The 21,227-nt window shown below is 35.4% G+C and overlaps 1 protein-coding gene across 1 annotated transcript; it reads right to left on the reverse strand.

Moving 5' to 3' along the window:
- Window positions 1-13,129: 13,129 nt before the first annotated feature.
- Window positions 13,130-20,960, reverse strand: DEFB112 (defensin beta 112). Its single transcript, NM_001369057.2, has 2 exons — window positions 20,843-20,960; window positions 13,130-14,832 (listed from the first exon to the last, which is right to left on the reverse strand). The coding sequence occupies exons 1-2, from the start codon at window positions 20,898-20,900 to the stop codon at window positions 14,606-14,608; spliced, it is 285 nt and encodes a 94-aa protein (NP_001355986.1). The 5' UTR covers window positions 20,901-20,960; the 3' UTR covers window positions 13,130-14,605.
- Window positions 20,961-21,227: the final 267 nt, after the last annotated feature.

Below are 21,227 nucleotides of genomic sequence, written 5' to 3' on the forward strand. Positions count from 1 at the left end.
TAAACAGAATAAAGGACAAAAATCATATGATAATTTCAATTGATGCTGAAAAAGCATTTGATAAAATTCAACATCTTTTCATGATAACAACCTTCAAAAAACTGGGTATACAAGGAACATACCTCAACATAATAAAAGCTATATTCAGCAGACCTACAGCTCTCATGCTGAATCTTCCTCTAAGATAGGGAACACAACCAGGAGACTCATTTTCCCCACTGTTGTTCAACATAGTACTGAAGTCATACAAATAGTAATGAGACAAGAAAAAGAAATAAAGACCATCCAAATTGGAAAGGAAAAAGTCAAATTATCCTCTCCTTGTTTGCAGATGATATGATCTCATATTTGGAAAGTCCTGAAGACTCCACCAAAAAAACTTAGAACTGATATAAAAATGCAGTAAAATTGCAAGATACAAAATCAGCATACGAAAATCAGTAGCATTTCTATATGCCAACCATGAACAATCTGAGAAAGAAATCAAGAAACTAATTCAATTTACACAAACTACAAGAAAAATAAAATACCTAAGAATTAATGTGACCAAAACAGTAAAAGATCTCTACAATGAAAACCATAAAGCATTGAGGGAAGCAATTGAAAAAGACAAAAAAACATGGAAAAATATTCCATGTTCATTGTTTGGAAGAATCAATATTTTTAACATGACCATGTTACCCAAAGAAATCTACAGATTCAATAGAATCCCTACCAAAATACCAATGACATTCTTCACAGAAATAGAAAAAAAAAATCCTAAAATTCATATAGAACCACAACAGACCCAGAATAGCCAAAGCCATCCTAAGCAAAAGGAACAAAACTGGAGGAATCATATTACCTGACTTCATATTATACTACAGAGTGATGGTAACCAAAACAGCATTGTAATGGCATAACTGCATGTAGATCACTGGTACAGAATAGAAAACCCAAAGATGTATCCATACATCTACGGTGAACTCATTTTTGAGAAAGGTTCCAAGAACATAATTGAGGAGAGGACAGTCCCTTTAATAAAACATGATGGGGCCAGGCACTGTGGCTTGCGCCTGTAATCCTAGCACTTTGGGAGGCTGAAGTGGGTGAATCACTTGAGTTCAGGAGTTCAAGACCAGCTTGGCCAACATGGTCAAACCCCATCTCTACTAAAAATACAAAAAATTAGCCGGGTGTGGTGGTGCATGCCTGTAATTCCAGTTACTCAGGAGGCTGAGGCAGGAGAATAGCTTGAACCCAGGAGGCAGAGGTTGAAGTGAGCCGAGATTGTGCCACTGCACTGCAGGCTGAACCACAGAGCTAGACACCCCGCATGGACGTTTGAACTGGCAGGGGCATCTTCCCAGAGATTAGACAGAGATGGGGCTTCAGCAGGCACCAAGCCAGGGACCTTTGTGTGCGGGAGAGCTCCGGTTGAGCTCCGCTATGGATGCCCATCCCAGGGCTCTCTGTCACTCTGAGAGGCTCTGTCCTCAGCTAACCACAAGAACGGGAGATAGCAGAGCCAGTTTCCCCGCGGGAATGGGGCACGAAGGTCCTGCAAGGCCCGCCTGCCCGCCAGTCCCTCCCAGGGCTCCCGCCTGGCCATCCCACAGAAATATAGACACTGCGCATGCTCTACTGCCCGGCCTGGGTGCTTTGTTCCGACTGAAGGAATTTTGGCAGCCTGGAATCCTTTTGGATCCCCCAAAACACCCAGAACGCAACCCTGAAGGTCCAGAGAAGGGAGAAGCCCCAAGCAAGTCCTGGTGTTTCAGGGCTGCAGCCTGCAGCTAAGGAGTGCTGGGGATGTCTGCAAGCACTGGAGCCAGGGAGAAGCTCACATACACAGAAAACTAAGAGGGATGAGTTATGCAAGTTCGCGGGCTGGTGTGAGGTTTGGGCATGGCTCCCTCCACTGTTCTGGTCTGGTAAGCGAGCGGCCTATTTCCCTGCTGGACCTCTTATAGGGGCAGCCCCTCAGCCTGAAACCCTAACAACAACATCAAGGACAACAAAAACGCAGGCATAGTGCCAGTGATCAGAGGTGGCTTCCTCAAGGCTGAGGAGTGGATCTGGTGAGCGCGTCATCTCTCTCCACCTGGCACCGCAAAGTGCAGCTGCAAATGCAAGGATACACAAAGGAGCCACGCAGCTGAGGGACAGTCCGTCTACCGCCCATTGTTGTCAAGCACCATCTACAGGACGCAGCGCAAACTACAATAACAAAAAAACGAATTATTCCTTAGCAAAACCAAGGGCAAGAAATCAACAACAGAGACCCTAGACAAAGCCTTAATCCTGTGAAAACTTACAGAAATAAAGCCAACTCAATATATATTCAATTTACGCAACAGTTGAATGAAGACCAACCTTCCCAGATAAGAAAGAATCAGCACAAGAACTGCGGCAATTCAAATAGCCAGTGTCCCCTTAACTCCAAAAGAACCCATTAGCTCCTCAGCGATGGTTCTTAACTAGGCTGAAACGAATGAAATAACAGACATAGAATTAAGAATATAGATGGAAAGGAAGCTCATGGAGATGCAGAAGAAAAGTTGAAGCCCAATCCAAGTAAGCCAAGTAATTCAGTAAAATGATTCAAGAGCTGAAAGATGAAGTAGCCATTTTAAGAAAGACCCAAACTGAACTTCTTCAGCTGAAAAATTTATAAGAATTTCATAACACAATTGGCAATAATTAACAGCAAAACAGACCACGCTGAGGAAAGAATCTCAAGCTCAAAAGCCAGTTCTTCAAATCAGCTGTCAGACAAAAATAAAGAAAAAAAGAATTTTTTAAAATGAACAAAACCTTCTAGAAATACAGGATTATGTAGAGACCAAATCTATGACTTATTGGCATCCCTGAGAGACAAGGAGAGAAAATAAGCAACTTGGAAAGTATATTTGACGATATAATCCATGAAAATTTCCCTAATCTTGCTAGGGAGGTTGACATGCAAATTCAAGGAATACAGGAATCTCATCTGGATAGCATACAAGATGACCATCCCCAAGGCATATATTCATCAGACTCACCAAGGTCAACACAAAAGAAAAAATCTTAAAGGCAGCTACAGAGAGAGGTGAAGTCGCATACAGAGGGGACACCATCAGACTGGCAGCAGACCTCCCAGCAAAAACCTTACAAGCCAGAAGAGATGTGGGCCATTTTCAGAAACCTTAAAGAAAAGAAATTTCGACTAAAAATTTCATACCCCACCAAACAAAGCTTCATAAGTAACGGAAAAATAAAACTCTTCTCAGATAAGCAAATGCTGAGAGAATTCATATCAACTAGAAGAGCTTTCCAAGATGTCCTTAAGGGAATGCTAAACATGAAATCGAAAGAATGATACCTGCTGACACAAAAACTAACTTAAACACATAGCTTACAGACATTATAAAGCAACTACACAACCAAGTCTACATAAAAATTAACTAACAACAAGATGACAGGTTCAAAATCTCACATATCAATACTAACCCTGAATGTAAATTGGCTAAACACCCCTCTTAAAAGAAACAGAGAGGTAAGCAGAATAAAAAAACAAGACCCAACCATCTACCATCTTCAAGAGAGTAATGTCACATGTAATGATACTCAGAGGTTCAATGTAAAGGATTGAAGAAAGATTTATCATGCAAATGGGAAAAGAAAGCAGGAGTCACTATTCTTATATCAGATAAAATGGACTTTAAATGTTTTACAGTTAAGAAAAACAAAGAAGAGGATTAGATAATAATAAGTGGTACAATTCAAAAAGAGGACTGAATTATCCTGAATACGTATGCACGCAACATTGAAGCACCCACATTCATAAAACAAGTTATTCTTGACCTATGAAAAGATTTAGACAGCCACACAATAATAGTGGGAGGTGTCAACACCCCGCTGGCCGCATTAGATAGATCATGGAGGCAGAAAACTAACAAAGACACTCTGAATTCTAATGCAACACTTGCCCAATTGGACCTACAGACACCTACAGAACACCCTACTTAGCAACCACACTATATGCATTCTTCTCATCTGCACACAGAACATATTCTGAGATTGACTACATGCTAAGTCATAAAGCAATTCTCAATAAATTTAAAAAAATCAAATCATAACCAACACAGTCTTGGATCACAGTGCAATTAAGACAGAAACCAATTTCAAGAAGATCTCCCAAAACTACACAAATACTTAAAAATTAAAAGTCTTCCTCCTGAGTAACTCTTGGGTGAACATCAAAATAAGGACACTAAGAGGAAAGTTTGTAGCACTAAATGCCTTCATCAGGAAATTAGAAATATCTCAAATTAACAATCTAATTTGCACCTAAAGGAACTAGAAAAAAAAGAAAGCAATTTATAAGCTAGCAGAATAAAAGAAACAACTAAAATTAGAGAAAAACTGAATGAAATTGAGACAGAAATCCATGCAAAAGAACGAGTTGGCTTTTCAAAAGAATAAACAAAATTGATAGAAACCCTAGCTAGATTAACAAAGAAAAATGAAGAGATGATCCAAATAACACAATCAGAAATGACAAAGGCAATATTATGACTGATCCCACTGACAAACAAAAGATCCTGAGAGACTGCTATGAACTCAATGCACACAAATTAGAAAATCTAGAGGAAGTGGATAAAATCCTGGATGCACACTATCTCCCAAGATTGAATCAGTAAGAGGTTGAAACCAGGAATGTACCAATATCAACTTCTGAAACTGAATAGGTAACAAAGAAACTACCAAACAATAAAAGCCTTGGGTCAGATGGATTCACAGCTGAATTCTACCAGACATACAAAAAAGAACGGGTACCAATCATATTGAAACTATTTCAAAAAATTGAGGAGTAGGAGATCCTCCCTACCTCATTCTGTGAAGCCAGCATCAACCTGATACCAAAATCTGGCAGAGATAGAGTGAAAAAAGAAAACTTCAGGCCAATATCGCTGATGAACATAGACACAAAACTCCTCAACAAAATATTAATAAACCAAGTCCAGCAGCACATCAAAAAGTTAATATACCACAATCAAGTAGTCATTATTCCTGGGATGCAAGGCTGGTTCAACCTACATAAATTAATAAATGTGATTCACCATATATACAGAGTTAAAAGCAAAAGCCATATGATCATCTCAATAGTCATGAAAAAAGCTTTCAATAAAATCCAACACACCTTCATGATAAAAACCCTAAAGAGATTAGACATTGAAGGAACGTATCTGAAAATAGTAAGAGCCATATATGACAAACACAACCAACATCATACTGAATGGGAAAAGCTCAGATCATTCCTCTGGAGAATAGGAAAAAGACAAGGATGTCTACTTTCACCACTCCTATTCAGCATAGTACTGGAAGTCCTAGCAAGAACAATCAGGCAAGGAAAAGAAATAAAAGGCATCCAATTAGGAAAAGAAGAACTGAAACTATTTCTCTTCACTGACAATATGATCCTACTCCTTGATAATCCTAAAGGCTCTGCCAAAAGGCTTCTAGAATGTAGAATTAATAAATGACTTTGGTAAAGTTTCAGTATTAAAAAAATCAAAGAAATCAGTAGCATTTCTACACATGAACAACATACATGCTGAGAGTGAAATCAAGAACACAATCCCACTTATAATAGCATAATAGCCACATAGCAAATGAAATACCTAAGAATATGTCTAACCAAGGAGGTGAAAGATCCCTACAAAAGGAACTACAAAAAAAAAAAAAAAAAACTGCTGAAAGAAATCAGTGATAACACAAATAAATAGAAAAGCATTCCATGCTCATGGATTGGAAGAATCGATATCATAAAAATGGCCACACTATAGATATATAGATTCAGTGCAATTCTTATAAAACTAACAACATCAGTTATTCACAGAATTAGGAAAAACTATTTTAAAATTCTTATGGAATCAAAAAAGAGCCTTAATAGCCAAAGGAATTTTTCAGCAAAAGGAACAAAGCAGGAAGTATCATACTATCCAATTTCAAACTATACTATAAGGCTACAGTAGCAAAATTAATGTGGTACAGATACAAAAACAGACACATAGAACAATGGAACAGTAAAAAAGTCAGAAATAAAGCTGCACACATATAAACATCTGATCTTTGACAAGGCCAACACAAATAAGCAATGGGGAAAGTACTCCCTTATTCAATAAATGGTGCTGGGATAACTGACTAGCCGTGCGCAGATCAAAGCTGGACCCTTACCTTTCACCATATAAAAAAATTAACTCAACATGGATTAAATATTTAAATGTAAGACCTCAAATTATAAAAAATCCTAGAAGATAATCTAGGAAATACTCTTATGAACATTGGCCCTGGCAAATAATTTTTGGCTAAGTCTTCAAAAGCAATTGCAACAAAACCAAAAATTGACAAGTGGAATCTAATTAAACTAAAGAGCTTCTGCACAGCAAAGGAAACCATCAACAGAGACAATGTACAGAATGGGAAAAGATATTTGCGAACTATTCATTTGTCAAAGGCCTAATATCCAGACTCTATAAGGAACTTAAAGAATTCAACAAGCAGAAAACAACCCCATTAAATATCAGGCAAAGGACATGAACAGACATTTCTCAAAAGAAGACATACAAGTGGCCCACAAACATATAAAAAAATGCTGAGCATCACTAATCATGAGCGAAATGCAAATGAAAACCACAATGAGATACCATCTCACCCACTCAGATTGATTATTATTAAAATGTCAAAAAATGAAAAACACTGGCAAGGCTTCAGAGAAAAGGGAATGCTTATACAGTGTTGGTGGAAATAAAATTAGTTCAGTCACTGTGGAAAGCGGTCTGGAGATTTCTAAAAGAACTTAACACAGAGCTACCATTTGACCCAGCAATCCCAATACTGGGCATATAACTTAATGAAAATAAGTAAGTAAACCAAAAGACACATGCACTTGTATGTTCACCACAGCACTATTCACAGTAGTAAAAACTTAGAATAAATCAAGGTGCCAATCAAAAGACTGGATAAAAAAATATGGTACATATGCACCATGAATATTATGCAGCCATAAGAAAGAATGACATCATGTCCTTTGCATCAACATGGATGCAATTGGAGGCTATAATCTTAAGCAAAATAAGGCAGAAACACAAAACCAAATAATGCATGTTATCTCTTATGAGTGGAAGGTAAACACTGAGCACAGATGGATATAAATATGCGAACTAAAGACACTATGGACTACTAGAGTGGAAAGGGAGGGAGGGAGCTGAAAAACTGTCTATTGGGTATTATGCTCACTACTTGGGTGATGGGATCCATTCCTCAAACTTTAGCATCATGCAATATTTTCATATAACAAAACTGCACATATAACCCCTGTATCTAAAATAAAAGTTGAAATTTTTTTAAAAGTTAGGCATAAAGATATCAAGGCTTTTATAGGAGATACTAAACAGATATATTAACTATTATATTAACTAATAATACTAAACTAATACATATTGAACAAATTAATGTTGGACGCTGTATCAGGAAACACCAAATATAGCCGTTCAAAGAGGCAATTATGTCTTTTGAATCACTCTTTTAAGCTGGGCTTGCAGACATATCTATTTCATTAAAAATTTCTATTTGATTGCCATTGAATTTGAAGCATGCAGAATAATTTCCCTCTTTTCTTCTTACATATCCACATCCGAATCCTGGAAACAGTGAATGTGTTAATTTACATGGAAAATAATACATTGCTGGTATAAAATAAATTAAGGATATTGAGATAGATTATTGTGAATTAACCAGTTAGGCACAAGGTAATCACAAAAGTCTTTATAAAAGGAAGATGGAAGAAACCATGAGCCAAGAAATTCAGGTGACATCTAGAAACTGGAAAAGTCAAGAAATAGATTCTTCCCTAGAGCCTCCAGAAGGAGCACAGCCCTGCTGACACCTTGATTACAGCCCCTTGAGACATATTTTGGATTTCTGACCTCCAGAACTATAAGATAACATTTCTGGTAACTTGTTAGAACAGCAATAGAAAACCAATAGAGGGTTGCCTCAGCTATATCTATAGTTATTATTATTTTTATTCATAACATTATTCATCTATGCATTCATTTTGTTTGATTAGTCTTGAGTCATAAATTTTGTTATTGTCATTAAATAACAAATATTTAAACTTTTAGTTTTTATTTATTATTATTATTATACTTTAAGTTCTGGGATACAAGTGCAGAATGTGCAGGTTTGTTAATAGGTATACACTTGCCATGGTGGGTTGCTGCACTCATCAACCCGTCATCTGCATTAGGTATTTCTCCTAATCCTATCCCACCCCTATGCCCCCACCCACCAACAGGCCCCAATGTGTGATGTTCCCCTCCCTGTGTCCATGTGTTCTCACTGTTCGACTCCCACTTATGAGTGAGAACATGCGGTGTTTAGTTTTCTGTTCCTGTGTTAGTTTGCTGAGAATGATGGAGTCCAGCTTCATCCAAGTCCCCGCAAAAGACATGAACTCATCCTTTTTTATGGCTGCATATTATTCCATGGTATTTATGTGCCACATTTTCTTTATCCAGTCTATCACTGGTGGGCATTTGAGTTGGTTCCAAGTCTTTGCTATTGTTAACAGTACTGCAATAAACATATGTGTTCATGTGTCTTTATAGTAGAATAATTTACAATCCTTTGGATATATACCCAGTAATGGGATTGCTAGGTCGAATGGTATTTCTGGTTCTAGATCCTTGAGGAATCTCCACACTGTCTTCAACAATGGTTGAACTAATTTACACTCCCATCAACAGTGTAAAAGCATTCCTGTTTCTCCACATCCTCTCCAGCATCTGTTGTTTTCTGACTTTTTAATGATCACCATTCTAACTGGTGTAAGATGGTATCTCATTGTGGTTTTGACCAGTGATAATGAGCTTTTTTTCATATGTTTGTTGGTCGCATAAATGTCTTCTTTTGAGAAGTGTCTGTTCATATCCTTCGCCCACTTTTTGATGAGGTTGTTAGTTTTTTTCTAGTAACTTGATTAAGTTCCTTGTAGATTCTGAATATTAGCCCTTTGTCAGATGGATAGATTGCAAAAATTTTCTCCCATTCTGTAGTTTGCCTGTTCACTCTGATGATAGTTTCTTTTGCTGTGCATAAGCTCTTTAGTTTAATTAGATCCCATTTGTCAATTTTGGCTTCTGTTGTCATTGCTTTTGGTGTTTTAGTCATGAAGTCTTTGCCCATGCCTATGGGCATGGTACTGTCTAGGTTTCCTTCTCGGGTTTTTTATGGTTTTAGGTCTTATGTTTAAGTCTTTAATCCATCTTGAGTTAATTTTTGTATAAGGTGTAAGGAAGGGATCCAGTTTCAGTTTTCTGCATATGGCTAGCCAGTTTTCCCAACACCACTTATTAGGTAGGGAATCCTTTCCCCATTGCTTGTTTTTGTCAGGTTTGTCAAACATCAGATGGTTGCAGATATGTGGCGTTATTTCTGAGGCCTCTGTTCTGTTCCATTGTTCTATGTGTCTGTTTTGGTACCAGTACAATGGTGTTTTGGTTACTGTAGCCTTGTAGTATAGTTTAAAGTCATGTGGCATGATGTCTCCAGCTTTGTTCTTTTTACTTAGTATTGTCTTTTTTGGTTCTTTTTTTCTGTTCCATTAGTATTTTTTTCCTCTTATTTTTACTATTTCATTCCTCCTCATTCCTTTGACCATGTTCTGGTCCTTTTCCAAGGTCTTAACTAAAACATTTAGCTCATTACTTTTTACCTTTTCTTTCTTCCTTGTATACTCATTTAAAGCCATGCATTTTTCCCTAAACAATTTTTTGCTACAATATTGATATATAGCAAATAAATTTTTAAGCAATTTTAAGTTTTATTATAATTTTTCTTTTTCAAATATATGGAGATTGCTTAATTTATTATTTTCTTACTCAATTTTTAACATTTTATTTTAAAAATTATAACTCACAGAAAAGTCACTAAATGTTATGATTACCTCCTATATTCCCTTCACCTAAACTCACCAATTGCTCACTTTTTGCACATTTTAAATTCACTAACTCCCATCTATATGCATCTCTCTATATATGTATTTGTATATACACACACGTATATGTTTATGCACTTATAAAATACATTTATATTTTTATTTGCTAAATAATTCAAGAGTTAGTCACAGACATCATAACACTTATCACATCTATTGTAAATAGTTTAGCATGTATCTCCTAAGAACATAGATACTCACATAACTCCAATAAAATTTTCCCATTCAAGTAATTTATTTTTTATAAGATACATATTTTTAACGTGCAGTCTGTGTTCAAATTTTCACAGTGGTCTTTATAATGTTTTAGTTTATCTGAATGAGCACTCAGTAAGGATTACCTGTTATATAGTTGTCATGTCTCCTTATTTTCCATTAATCTAGAATAGTTCCTCTTCCCAGACTTTCATTGTCATTCATTGTGTTAACAGTTTTGAAGATTCCAGGCCAGTATTTCAGAACATCTTTCCTTTTGTATTTGTCTGATTTTTTTCCCTAATGGATGAATTCAGATTGAAAAATGTTTAAGGTATTATTACATAGGTGATAAGTCCTACCTACATGATATGGTTTGGCTGTGTCCCCACCCAAATCTCCCCTTGAATTGTAGCTGCCATAATTCCTACGTGTTGTGAGAGGGACCTGGTGGGAGACAATTGAATCATTTGGGAGGTTTCCCCCATTATGTGATCGTGATCTGGCACTTGTTAATTGGCCAAAATGTGAAGTCCAGCAAAGATTACTTACAATTTCAGTGAATGTTAAAAAATTTCCAGGTAGCAATTTCGGTTTTTGTACATTATTTCAATTAGCCTTCAGAGCTCATTAAAAATGTTTTTAATTTATAAAAATAAAAAGAAATGTTTCACAAAAATAAGTAACTTCTGTAAATTTGAAGGAAATGTGACAGTGTTGGAATTTTAATCCCTGTCCATCTAACTCCAAAGCCAGATCGCTTAACTGGAATGTTTTTCATTTATTTTATTATACTTTAAGTCCTGGGGTACATGTGCAGAACATGCAGATTTGTTACATATGTATACATGTGCTATGGTGGTTTGCTGCACCCATCAACCCGTCATTTACATTAGGTATTTCTCCTAATGCTATCTTCTTAATCAAGCCGAATGGTTTCTTGGAAAAGCATATTATAAGAAAAAGCAATGCAAAGTAATATCATTCAAATTTAAGCAGAAGATAGTTATTAAATTTGAAACTATTGGAGATTTAGAAATTGTCTTATGTCAAATTTCAGGTTGAAAAAGTCTTTTTTCTCTTACTTTTAAACTTCTTATCCTATTTTTTTCATCTCTATGTTTGATACCAAACAAACTGGATTCTCTTCACTAGCTATAGGTTAAAGAAATGATCTAGTCAATTAAGAATATGGAATCTAATTATTTTGAACCTATCAAAACCTCATTATCCTGTGTAATAAAAATGGTAAAAATATTGTGTATATTATCTTTGCTGGTCAAGTAGAGAATAGAATTCCCTTTAGACCAATGAAGGAATTCTATTTATTTGTCATACAAATTATTTTTTTACTTTATCCATTAAAAATCTTTATTCTTTATTTCAATAAAAGTGCATGGCAGACTTTTTAGAAAAGAATAGCAAGATAAATCTAGCAATTCCATAACAGAAAGATCACCGGAAAAAAAGTGTAGATAGATATATTTTTATAAAGATGAAGAACTTCCACAATAACTTTTATTTTTGCTTACAAGACTCAGCTGGCTTGTGAGACAGAAAAAGCTAGCTTGAAGTGGAAAAAGCTAATTTATCATCTGTTACCTTTACCTTAAATCTAGCAGAGCCACATGACATCAAATCTCCCATCCGCCCACATGGATCTCAGTTCATGGATAAGGTAACAAACTCTCACCAAAGTTCTCCATCACTTCCTTTTCCTTGGAGCCACAAGCTGTGTGCTGTCTCTCTCTAATTACAAAGTTCTAGTACTCACTGCTGATCTTAAATTCACATTTCAGAAGTTCTGGCAACTGATACTCAGAGTTTGGAAAAAATGTTTACAGGAAACAAAGAAAGTGGCCAACAATTATATTTCCCTTTGCTTTTTTTTTTCCTCCCCTCACTTTCTGTAGAGTAAAAGCCTCACAACTATAAAGGACATTAGTGAAAAATTAGGACGATTTGAATATGGGCTGTTTTAGATAATATCCCTTTAATTATTTATGTCTGTAATTTCTATCCACAATATTTTGTAGCTTGAGATGCCATTTTTGTTGGAATTATTTTTAAATATCTAATAATCTAAAATGTGTCATTTTAAAATTTTGTTTTCAATTTGATTCTAGTGCCTAGAAATATAATTTACTTTTTGTATTGACTTTATTTAGTGACTTTGCTGAATTGATGTATTAATTCTATTAGTTTCTAGATATTAAAAAAGTAGATATCTAATCATGTTACATGTGAATAATGACAGCTATATTTCCTCCTTTCCACTGCTTATACTATTTGTCCTATTCTTAACTTACAGCACTGGTGCAATCCTCTAGTATAATGTTGTATGGAAGTATTGATAAATTAACATTCTTTGTTTATTTCTGAACTTGGGTGAAAGTGTTCAATAATCCACTGTAAAATATGGCATTTGATGTGGCTTTTGGTATAGGTAAAACATTATCAGTTTAAAGTGATTCCTCTGTCCTCATTTTACTGATATTTTTATCATGACTTAATGTTTTATAACTCCTACAAATCAACAGGATAAAGAGGTACAACCACTAAAAAAAAAAAAAAGAATGTCGCCAAGACTCAAATACAAATTCACAAAAGAGCATCTCTAATGGCCAGTATCAACATCAATTATGGAAAAGTTATCAACATCATTAATGGAGAGGAAAAAGGAAATAAGACCAAAAGACCAAGATGATATGAATTTACACACACAACAGAAGGGCTAAAATTGGAAAAAATGTGGACCAGCTGGAACTGTGGTACACTGCTTATGGGAACTTAAATTGCCCTAATCATTTTTTGCTGTCAATATCTCTAAAAGATAATAATATAAACAGTTTATGTTGAAACTTCTCTACTCCTAGGTATATAACCATTAATAATGAATGCACACATTAATACAATTATAGCAGCTTTATTCATAATTTTCATCTATCCTACCACAGATACATTAAATTATAGTATAGGTATACTGTGAGACCCCTGAAGTGGGGTTCAGAGTTTGGATCATAAACCAAAATCACAAGATGCAAATAGGGTTATTTAGCTCCAAATTGACACTGGTCAGAGAGCATAGTATTATACATATCAGGAATATCATATATAATTTGGACACCCAGATGCTTTTCCCTATGTGCCCAGGTACTGTGTACAGGATATGTTTTGGTTATAAGATTAACCCAAAGCTGAAATGTGTATATGTCACAGCAGCATAAGAAACCTACCAGGTACAAGTAGCCTCAACTTAAATACCTTGTTACCACATAATTTTAAGTGACTAGCTCCCTTTTCTTCATGTGGCCTTAGTCCACAGGTTGTAAGTCACATAATAACCAAGGCTGCCAGCCAAGGACAAAGCCTAGAGGACATTCTTTAAGTAATACTTAGCACATACCAAGCCCTGCAAAACCATCACCTATTTTTAGAGTTGATATTTCAAAATGTTTGAATAAGGGGAAAATCTTTAATCTAGGTGAGGTATTAAGACCAACTGCTGACCCTTTCCCTCAAGGCCACAATTTAGCCTTTGTTAACACATCCTTGCCACATAAATCCTGGGTATGACAAAAATTTCTATAATAGAAATTATATGTGTGAGCATGCATACACACATATATAATTCTGTTACATTATTTTTTAAAAACTTAAAATTTACTAAGACACCAATAAGTAGCATGATAAGAATCATCTGATAATATGTGGAAACATTAAAAACATGAAACAAAGCAAAACAAAACAAAAAAGTTAATCATAATTTCACATTATCGTTATTGCCACAAGCTACAGGGATTTACCATTCTTCTTTTCCTTCCTCAACCTAGTCTCCCTCTATTCTACCTTTTGAGATTATTCTTGGAAAAAAAATCAGTTATTTTTATTTTCATAATTCTTTCAAAAAAGAGAGAAAAAGTATAACCAGGAAGTATAAGCAATATGAGAAAGTTATGAGGATTTCATAATCCTTCAAATTTCTTGCAACGATTTTTACTAGTTCAGGGGTCACATCTCTTATCAACTCTGTCCCCACTCCTGAGTCTCCTCAAAGAATTCTTGATAATACCTCACTAATGACTCATAATATGCTTTTCACACTAAATAAGGAATTGGCCCCAGAATCTCACTAAACTTAGCGGTCCCATCATGGATTTTCTTCTCCACGCTGCTTCTATTCCAGAGTTCAAATCCCTGCTTTGTATTCTGATTCTTTCTTCTAAGCAAGCACAATGTTTATAAAAATGTCCAGCTGAAATATATTTTATTTAATTATTTATTCATTATAGGTATGCATGCATGGAAATTATAGGTCATTAATGAAGTGATGAAATAATGAGAGGACTTCATTCAGATGTATCATCTTCTTGTGCATGGATTTCTTCAATGACGTGAGTCTTTAGGGTACCATTCTTGAGTCCCTACTGAGTCCTTTGGGATCCAATTATTTGGGTCCGTAGGGTCACATTCTGTCACGCAGCAATGAGTTGTAGGTCTTGCACAGTATGAAATCCTAAATTCACTATCATCACATTGATTTTTACATCGACCTCCAATCGCTGTACATGACTTCCACCTACTAAAGGTGATATGGTGCCCTTCACTTCTGGCTGAAAGAAGGCAAGAACAGCTGGAATTAGTAATCTAGGTGGGAACTCCCAAGATTTAAAAGAAGACATGGGAGTAATCACAGACAACAGAGGAGAAATAAAGGAAATGGATATTTGCTTTAATTTTTTTGTCCATATCAGAGAAAATCAAGGAAACCAACAAGTATACAGTTCCTAAACTGTAGAGGTTCCATTCTTATGCAGTTTAAATAATTCTGTAGTGACTCAATAAGGGATTTCTGAAGGGCTTGCAATGTATTAATCTTCCTCTGTCTGTCTTGTACATTGACTAGAACCATTGGATATGAGTGGGACGATCTCCATCCTCTCATTTATTATTTATTCTTAGTACTGTTCTGTGGTAAATGTTCTCTTCCTTTTTAAGATTCCATTGTTCTTTTTAACCTGACTTGAGCAGTTCTAAAATATTGAAAGATACAATTTTATTTTCCTTAAATATCTCATCTCCTCTTGGATTTGCACCCTAGAGCCAAGCACAAGAGAAGTTTTGCTAAAAAAATAGACACTTTGGGGTGATTAGAATACGGAGATAGTAAATAACCACAAGCTGTGGACATAGTGAACATTTCAGCAAGGCTCATAATTTTCTAGTTCTACTTTGCCATTTTTCTCTTTCATCCTGAAGTTTCCAATGCTATAGAAAATTTTTAAAAATGTCTCTAATCTCACTTTACAGCATAATTTCTTCGACTTTGTAACTTCCACAAGTATAAGGAATGATGTATGTACCTAGATAGAAGGTCTCTCTGTCACTAACAGAAGTTCTGATCTGTAGTTGCAGATATTCATTTATTCTCTGTATCTCCACAGATACATAGCACATATCACTGGAGAGCCAGGTTTTGAATCTATATAATAATTTTTAAATTAATTAAAAAGTTTAATAAAAATTCTGGAGGAGACTGTCTTAGGAAGTACATATCTACCATTACTCGACTAATATAAGCATGCATTGCTGGACATATTTCAGAAGGTGGATAAAAATGACCAAGTCCTTATCACTGATGTCTGTAAGTATGCTTTCATCTCAAAAACCTTTTTATTCTGTAATTAACCATTTTCGTGTCCATCTTTTTAAATAAAATACATATATATCATTTTATATAAAGTAGTAATATTACCCACAAATTTTGCAGCAAGAATTTAAAATAACTGAGGATTTTGAGACTACACTATCAGAGGATATTCCTTTTAACATACTCTGGATTTGCAGTGATGTGTACTCAGTCATCTAGGAGACAGCACTTTATGCAGTTATCTTTGCTAATAATTGTATTTTATTTGCAAATAGTAATAGTAATATGAATAATGGTAATAATAATATTTCAAGCCCATATTTACCCTGAGATATGAAAGGTACATTTCATAATTGGATTAGCCTCAGCATAGTTCTGTTCACAAAGCAACATATCACAAGGGGTATTTCCTTCTGAGAGAAGAACACAAAATATAAATGCAGAGCCTAATGTAGCACTGTAAATGAAATAGCCATGAGATTACTACCTACATCAAGAAACAAGATATTACTAGAAGCTTCACACCCTCATGCCACATCATAACCCCCTCCCTCTTCCCTAAGAGTAATCACTGTCTTGAATTAAACACTAACTTTCTTACTTTGCTTTATATTAATATTTGTATACCTCAATTATGCATTTTTTATGCCTGCTTTTGAACATGTATACACATAAAATATGTATAAATCTAGATATACACACAAATATATATATACACACATACAAATAAATGTGTACATATGTGTATACAATCAGGTGTCACTTAGGGACAGGGATATGTTTTGAGAAATGTGCCATTAGGTGATTCTGTCCTTGTGCGAACACCATAAACTGTACTTACACAAATCTAGATGGTACAACCTATCACATACCTAGGCTGTAAGGTATAGCCTATTACTCCTGATCTACAAAATGGCACCTGTTACTGGACTGAATACTTTAGGCAACTGTAACATAATGGTAAGTATTTATGTATCTAAACATAGACTGAAACACTGTTTTGCAGCACATGACTGTTTATACTGATAGTCCCCGAATTACAATAATTTGACTCAATTTTTCATCCTCAGAATGGTGCAAAAAAGACATACGTTCAGTGGATACAATATTACAAATAGTCATACAACAATTCTGTTTTATGCTTTTAGTACATTATCAAACACATTCCATGATATATTCAATAATTTATTATAAAACACTCTTTATGTTAGATGATTTTGCCCAATTGTAGGCTAATGTAAGTATTCTGAGCATGTTTAAGCCAGGGTAAGCTAAGCTATGATGTTCTGCCAGTAGGGTGTATTAAATCCACTTTCAATTGATGATATTTTCAACTCAAAATGTCTTTATCAAGACATAATTCCATCATGAATTGAGGAGCACTGTGTGTGTGTGTGTGTGTGTGTGTGTGTGTGTGTGTGTATCTTAGAGAGAATCATACAGTTTGTTTGTTTCTGGATTTTTAAATTTATATTCATAAAATTGAACTTTGTGGTTGGATGTAGTTTGCAGTACTGATTTTCATTAATACATAGCATTCACTTTATCTAATAAACTTTATATGATCATATAGGTTATTTGCTACAGGGAGAATTTGGCTGCTCTTAACATTCTTGTACTGTTTCTTGAAGCATATTGAATAATCTTCTGTTGGATAGATTTCAAATTTTGAATGTTCTGTTGAATGTATGGTGGTAGTTTATCGTGGTTTAAATTAGCATTTTCTTGATTGCAAGTGAGGATGAGCACTTTAAAGAGGTTGTTTATTCACTCTTTCAAGTGGCTTAGGTCTTTTTTTCATATTTCTGCTGAATTACCTAGCATTTTCTTATTTATTTATTAGAATTTTAAAATATATTCTAGATTTAAGCCCTTTGCTAGTTATATATGTAGCAATGTTTGTATTCTACTCTATGACTCTACTAAGCTGATATACAAGAACTGAAGGAAATTTTGCCATTGAAGTGATTGGTAAAGTGGTGTAATGGACAAGAGGGAAGAACCTTTAAAGGCTATGGGTCCTAAAACATAGGTTTGGAATAAAGGTGAGCCTAGGGTTACATGAGCTGGCCAGGTACTGAGTGAACCTGGAGCCTGTATCCACCGAGGCTGGCCTCGGGGCTGAGTCCACAGGTCCTTCCCTGATGACTATGGCTGTGGAGCTCACCTTGTTCTTGGACAAGCCTGAAACCTGGGGGTCAGCTTGGTGTTGGGGGGATCCAGAGCCCAGGAACACTGGGGCCAGCCTAGCTCTAGAGAAACTCTGGAAACCGAGTGTGATTATTGGGCCTAGCCTGAGTCTGTGGGGCTTGAACTAGCACTAGGGCTACTGGGCAGGCCTGGAGGGGCAGTGAGCTGAGACTTGATGGGCTGGCCTAGAGCCAGAGGCTGTCAGATCCGGCCTGGTGCCAGAGCAGACTTGGAAGCTCAGTCTTCAGGTACTGGTCTGAAGTCTGAGGCCATGGGGGCCTGCTCGGTGCTGGGTTCTACTTAGAAAGGGCATCCAGTGTTGGGTCCAAGGCTAATTTCTATGGTCATTTCCCTCTCTTTCCTTCACAGGGAGGGTATCTGTCTCCAGGCTGTGCTATCTAGGCTTGGGAGAGAGGTCCATGAGCAATGTGACACTATCTTTCCTACCCTCTTTAATGTGTCTTTTCTTATTTCTGTAATCTACCCAAGTGCTGTAATCTCTCACCTGGTTTCCTTAGCTCTTGTGAAGGCATTTTCGTGCATGGATAATTGTTCAAATTAGTGATTCTGTAAAGGAAGGAGCATTGAAAAGTCCCATTCCAACATCATGCTGACATCCAGTGAAACTTAGTCAAAAAGAATTCTTTTAAAACTAAGTTCCCAGTCCCTTATCTAGACTTTTGTTGCTCAATTGCCTTTTTGAGTTATCTTAATTAAACCGTGCTTTCAAATAAACAGAACACCTTTATCATTCTTTTCATATAACAATATACTTTTTATATCCAAAAATATCAGTATTTTGAACAGTAGTGATTGATAAAAATAGTTTTGCCTTGGCCAGGCGTGGTGGCTCACACCTGTAATCCCAGCATTTTGGGAGGCCGTGGCAGGTAGATCACCTCAGGTCAGGAGTTCGCTACCAGCCTAGCCAACATGGTGAAACCCTGTCTCTACTAAAAATACAAAAAATTAGCGGGGCGTGGTGGTGGGAGCCTGTAATCCCAGCTACTCCGGAGGCTGAAGCAGGAGAATTGCTTGAACCCGGGAGACGGTGGTTGCAGTGATCCAAGATAGTGTCATTGCACTCCAGCCTGGGCAACAAGAGTGAAACTCCGTCTCAAAAAAAAAAAAATAAATATGTCCAGCTGTTGAGTAGGAGGGAAACTGAGACAACAGTATAATTCCTAAGCACAATTACATTAAAACATTTTAAAAAGTAATAATGTTGCTGAGAACAATGGTTAGAAAACCTTTCTTCATGGAAATGATAAAAGGACATTTGTCTAGCCAGCATTTTATCAAAAAAATCGGCCTCTACAACCTTAAAATAAGATTTCTTTCTTGTTTTAAACATGAAATTCAGTCTTCATAAAGCTATGAGGTGAAAGACAAGAACATATAAGTAAACAGGGACTGAGGTAGAGAATATACTCAGAATATTTACTTCATTTCAGTCAAAAAGTATTGATTAAAATGTGCAAGACACAATTCTACTTATTTTGTTTTACCTGTGCTGATTTTCTCTGTCCCATGTCGGGCCTTTTCAAATATTGTGGAAGATGTATTTGTCTTTGAGTACATTTTTTCAAGTTTCAGTCTACATATGGTTGTCAATAATTTCATAAGAGTGCTAAGAGGTTGTTAAGAGCTCACTGTAAAGTGAAAAAATTACTTTAAAAGTAGGAGGAAAAATATTTTCAGAAATAAGGACACAAATGTAGTTGCCTCTATTTAATGGTCCTATATATTATAAAAGGTTTTACAAAATGATAAACATATAGTACATATGTTTAAAAATCCAGTTAAATGAATAAATGACTTGGCTATTAATAAGTTCACCTTGCATGGCTATTGTTAGGAAAAATAAATTAATACAGGCAAAAGGCTGAACAAATGCTAGCTATTAAAATCATTATTATGAAGAAAACCTATCAGTGTTTATTGAAATCTGTATAATTCTTTGTACCTCAGAAAAGTTCTAAATATAGAGAGAATTCTAATGAGCACACTTTAATTAATTTTTATAAAGAAGAAAAATTATTATCTGATTTAAATTAACTCCCTTGTTGGTTTACATTATTAACTGAAGTTCACCTCCTTGTCCCCTTTTGGTGAGAAATTATTAGCTAAAAAGCTATTTATGTTTAAATGTTAGGGCAGAATAACAGTAAAATAATGAGTTACTACAGATTTATTTTAAGGTTACCTCCTCTGATCTCAATACTGAAAGATATCTTGATAATCAGAGAAAGCAGCAAGATAAAGAAAAAGGAGAATTTAACTGGAAGTGAGCAGTAGACAAGTGCAGCTTGTCTCAATTGTTAATAAAATACAATCTGAAACTTTTAGCAAGACATTTTATCTGATTAACCTCTGCTATAAATATCACTGTGGGGATCAATGATTTCCAAGCATAATTCATAACTTTCCCAGTTTTTTCTAATCTATTAATAGATCAAATTCAGTTAAATTTGAGTGTTGAATAAATACACATTTCATGGATCTGTGAAATCAACGTAGCATTATTTTCTTCTAATCATTTACATATATGCATATATATGAATGTATATTTTCATGTAATTAAGGTGAATTACAGCCTTTTCTAGGATGCTGTGCTTGAAAAATTATTCAAATATTTTTACCTGAGAACTGTGAATAAATGTAATGTAACATGATGATGGTATTAATAAAATGTTTTATAATGTCAATTCTACTTTAAATAACCCAGCTCCCCGACTTTAATGCTGGCCCCTTGACCCCTCTAGCAATAATATTCATATTACCTGGTGGAATAAGGACTCCAAAGAAAAGCAAAATACAGAAAAAGAGAAGGATCTTCATTGTAAATGATTTCTTGGTATAAAACAGTGTACAGATCATCTGTCTGACTCAGCTGTTGTTGAAACAAGAAAAAAAAACCCTTACATTTAAAGAATTCTTCTGCATAGTTTTGACTACTGAAGCTTATTAAGAGTGAGAACATTTCTATGCTTGGTGCATAGTGCCATATTCAAAGAGATAGTGACTAGAAAAAGCTGCATTGTCACACAAAAGTTACATCTGCTGATTTCTCTTGCAGTCAGTTTCTTTAAGAAACTTTAACAGTTACAAGAATATGGGTATAAATTGCTAAGTGACCAAGATCCGAAATAGTCCTGCAGCAATTCA

This window comes from Homo sapiens, chromosome 6, assembly GCF_000001405.40.
Source record: "Homo sapiens chromosome 6, GRCh38.p14 Primary Assembly".
NCBI classification, from domain to species: Eukaryota; Metazoa; Chordata; class Mammalia; order Primates; family Hominidae; genus Homo; species Homo sapiens.

Coding starts and splice junctions, on each gene's coding strand:
- DEFB112 (NM_001369057.2), bottom strand. CDS start 20,900: ATGAAGATCCTTCTCTTTTTCTGTATTTTGCTTTTCTTTGGAGTCCTT. Junction 14,833..20,842: donor TGGAGTCCTTATTCCACCAG/GTAATATGAATA, acceptor GCCTTCTTTCAG/CCAGAAGTGAAGGGCACCAT.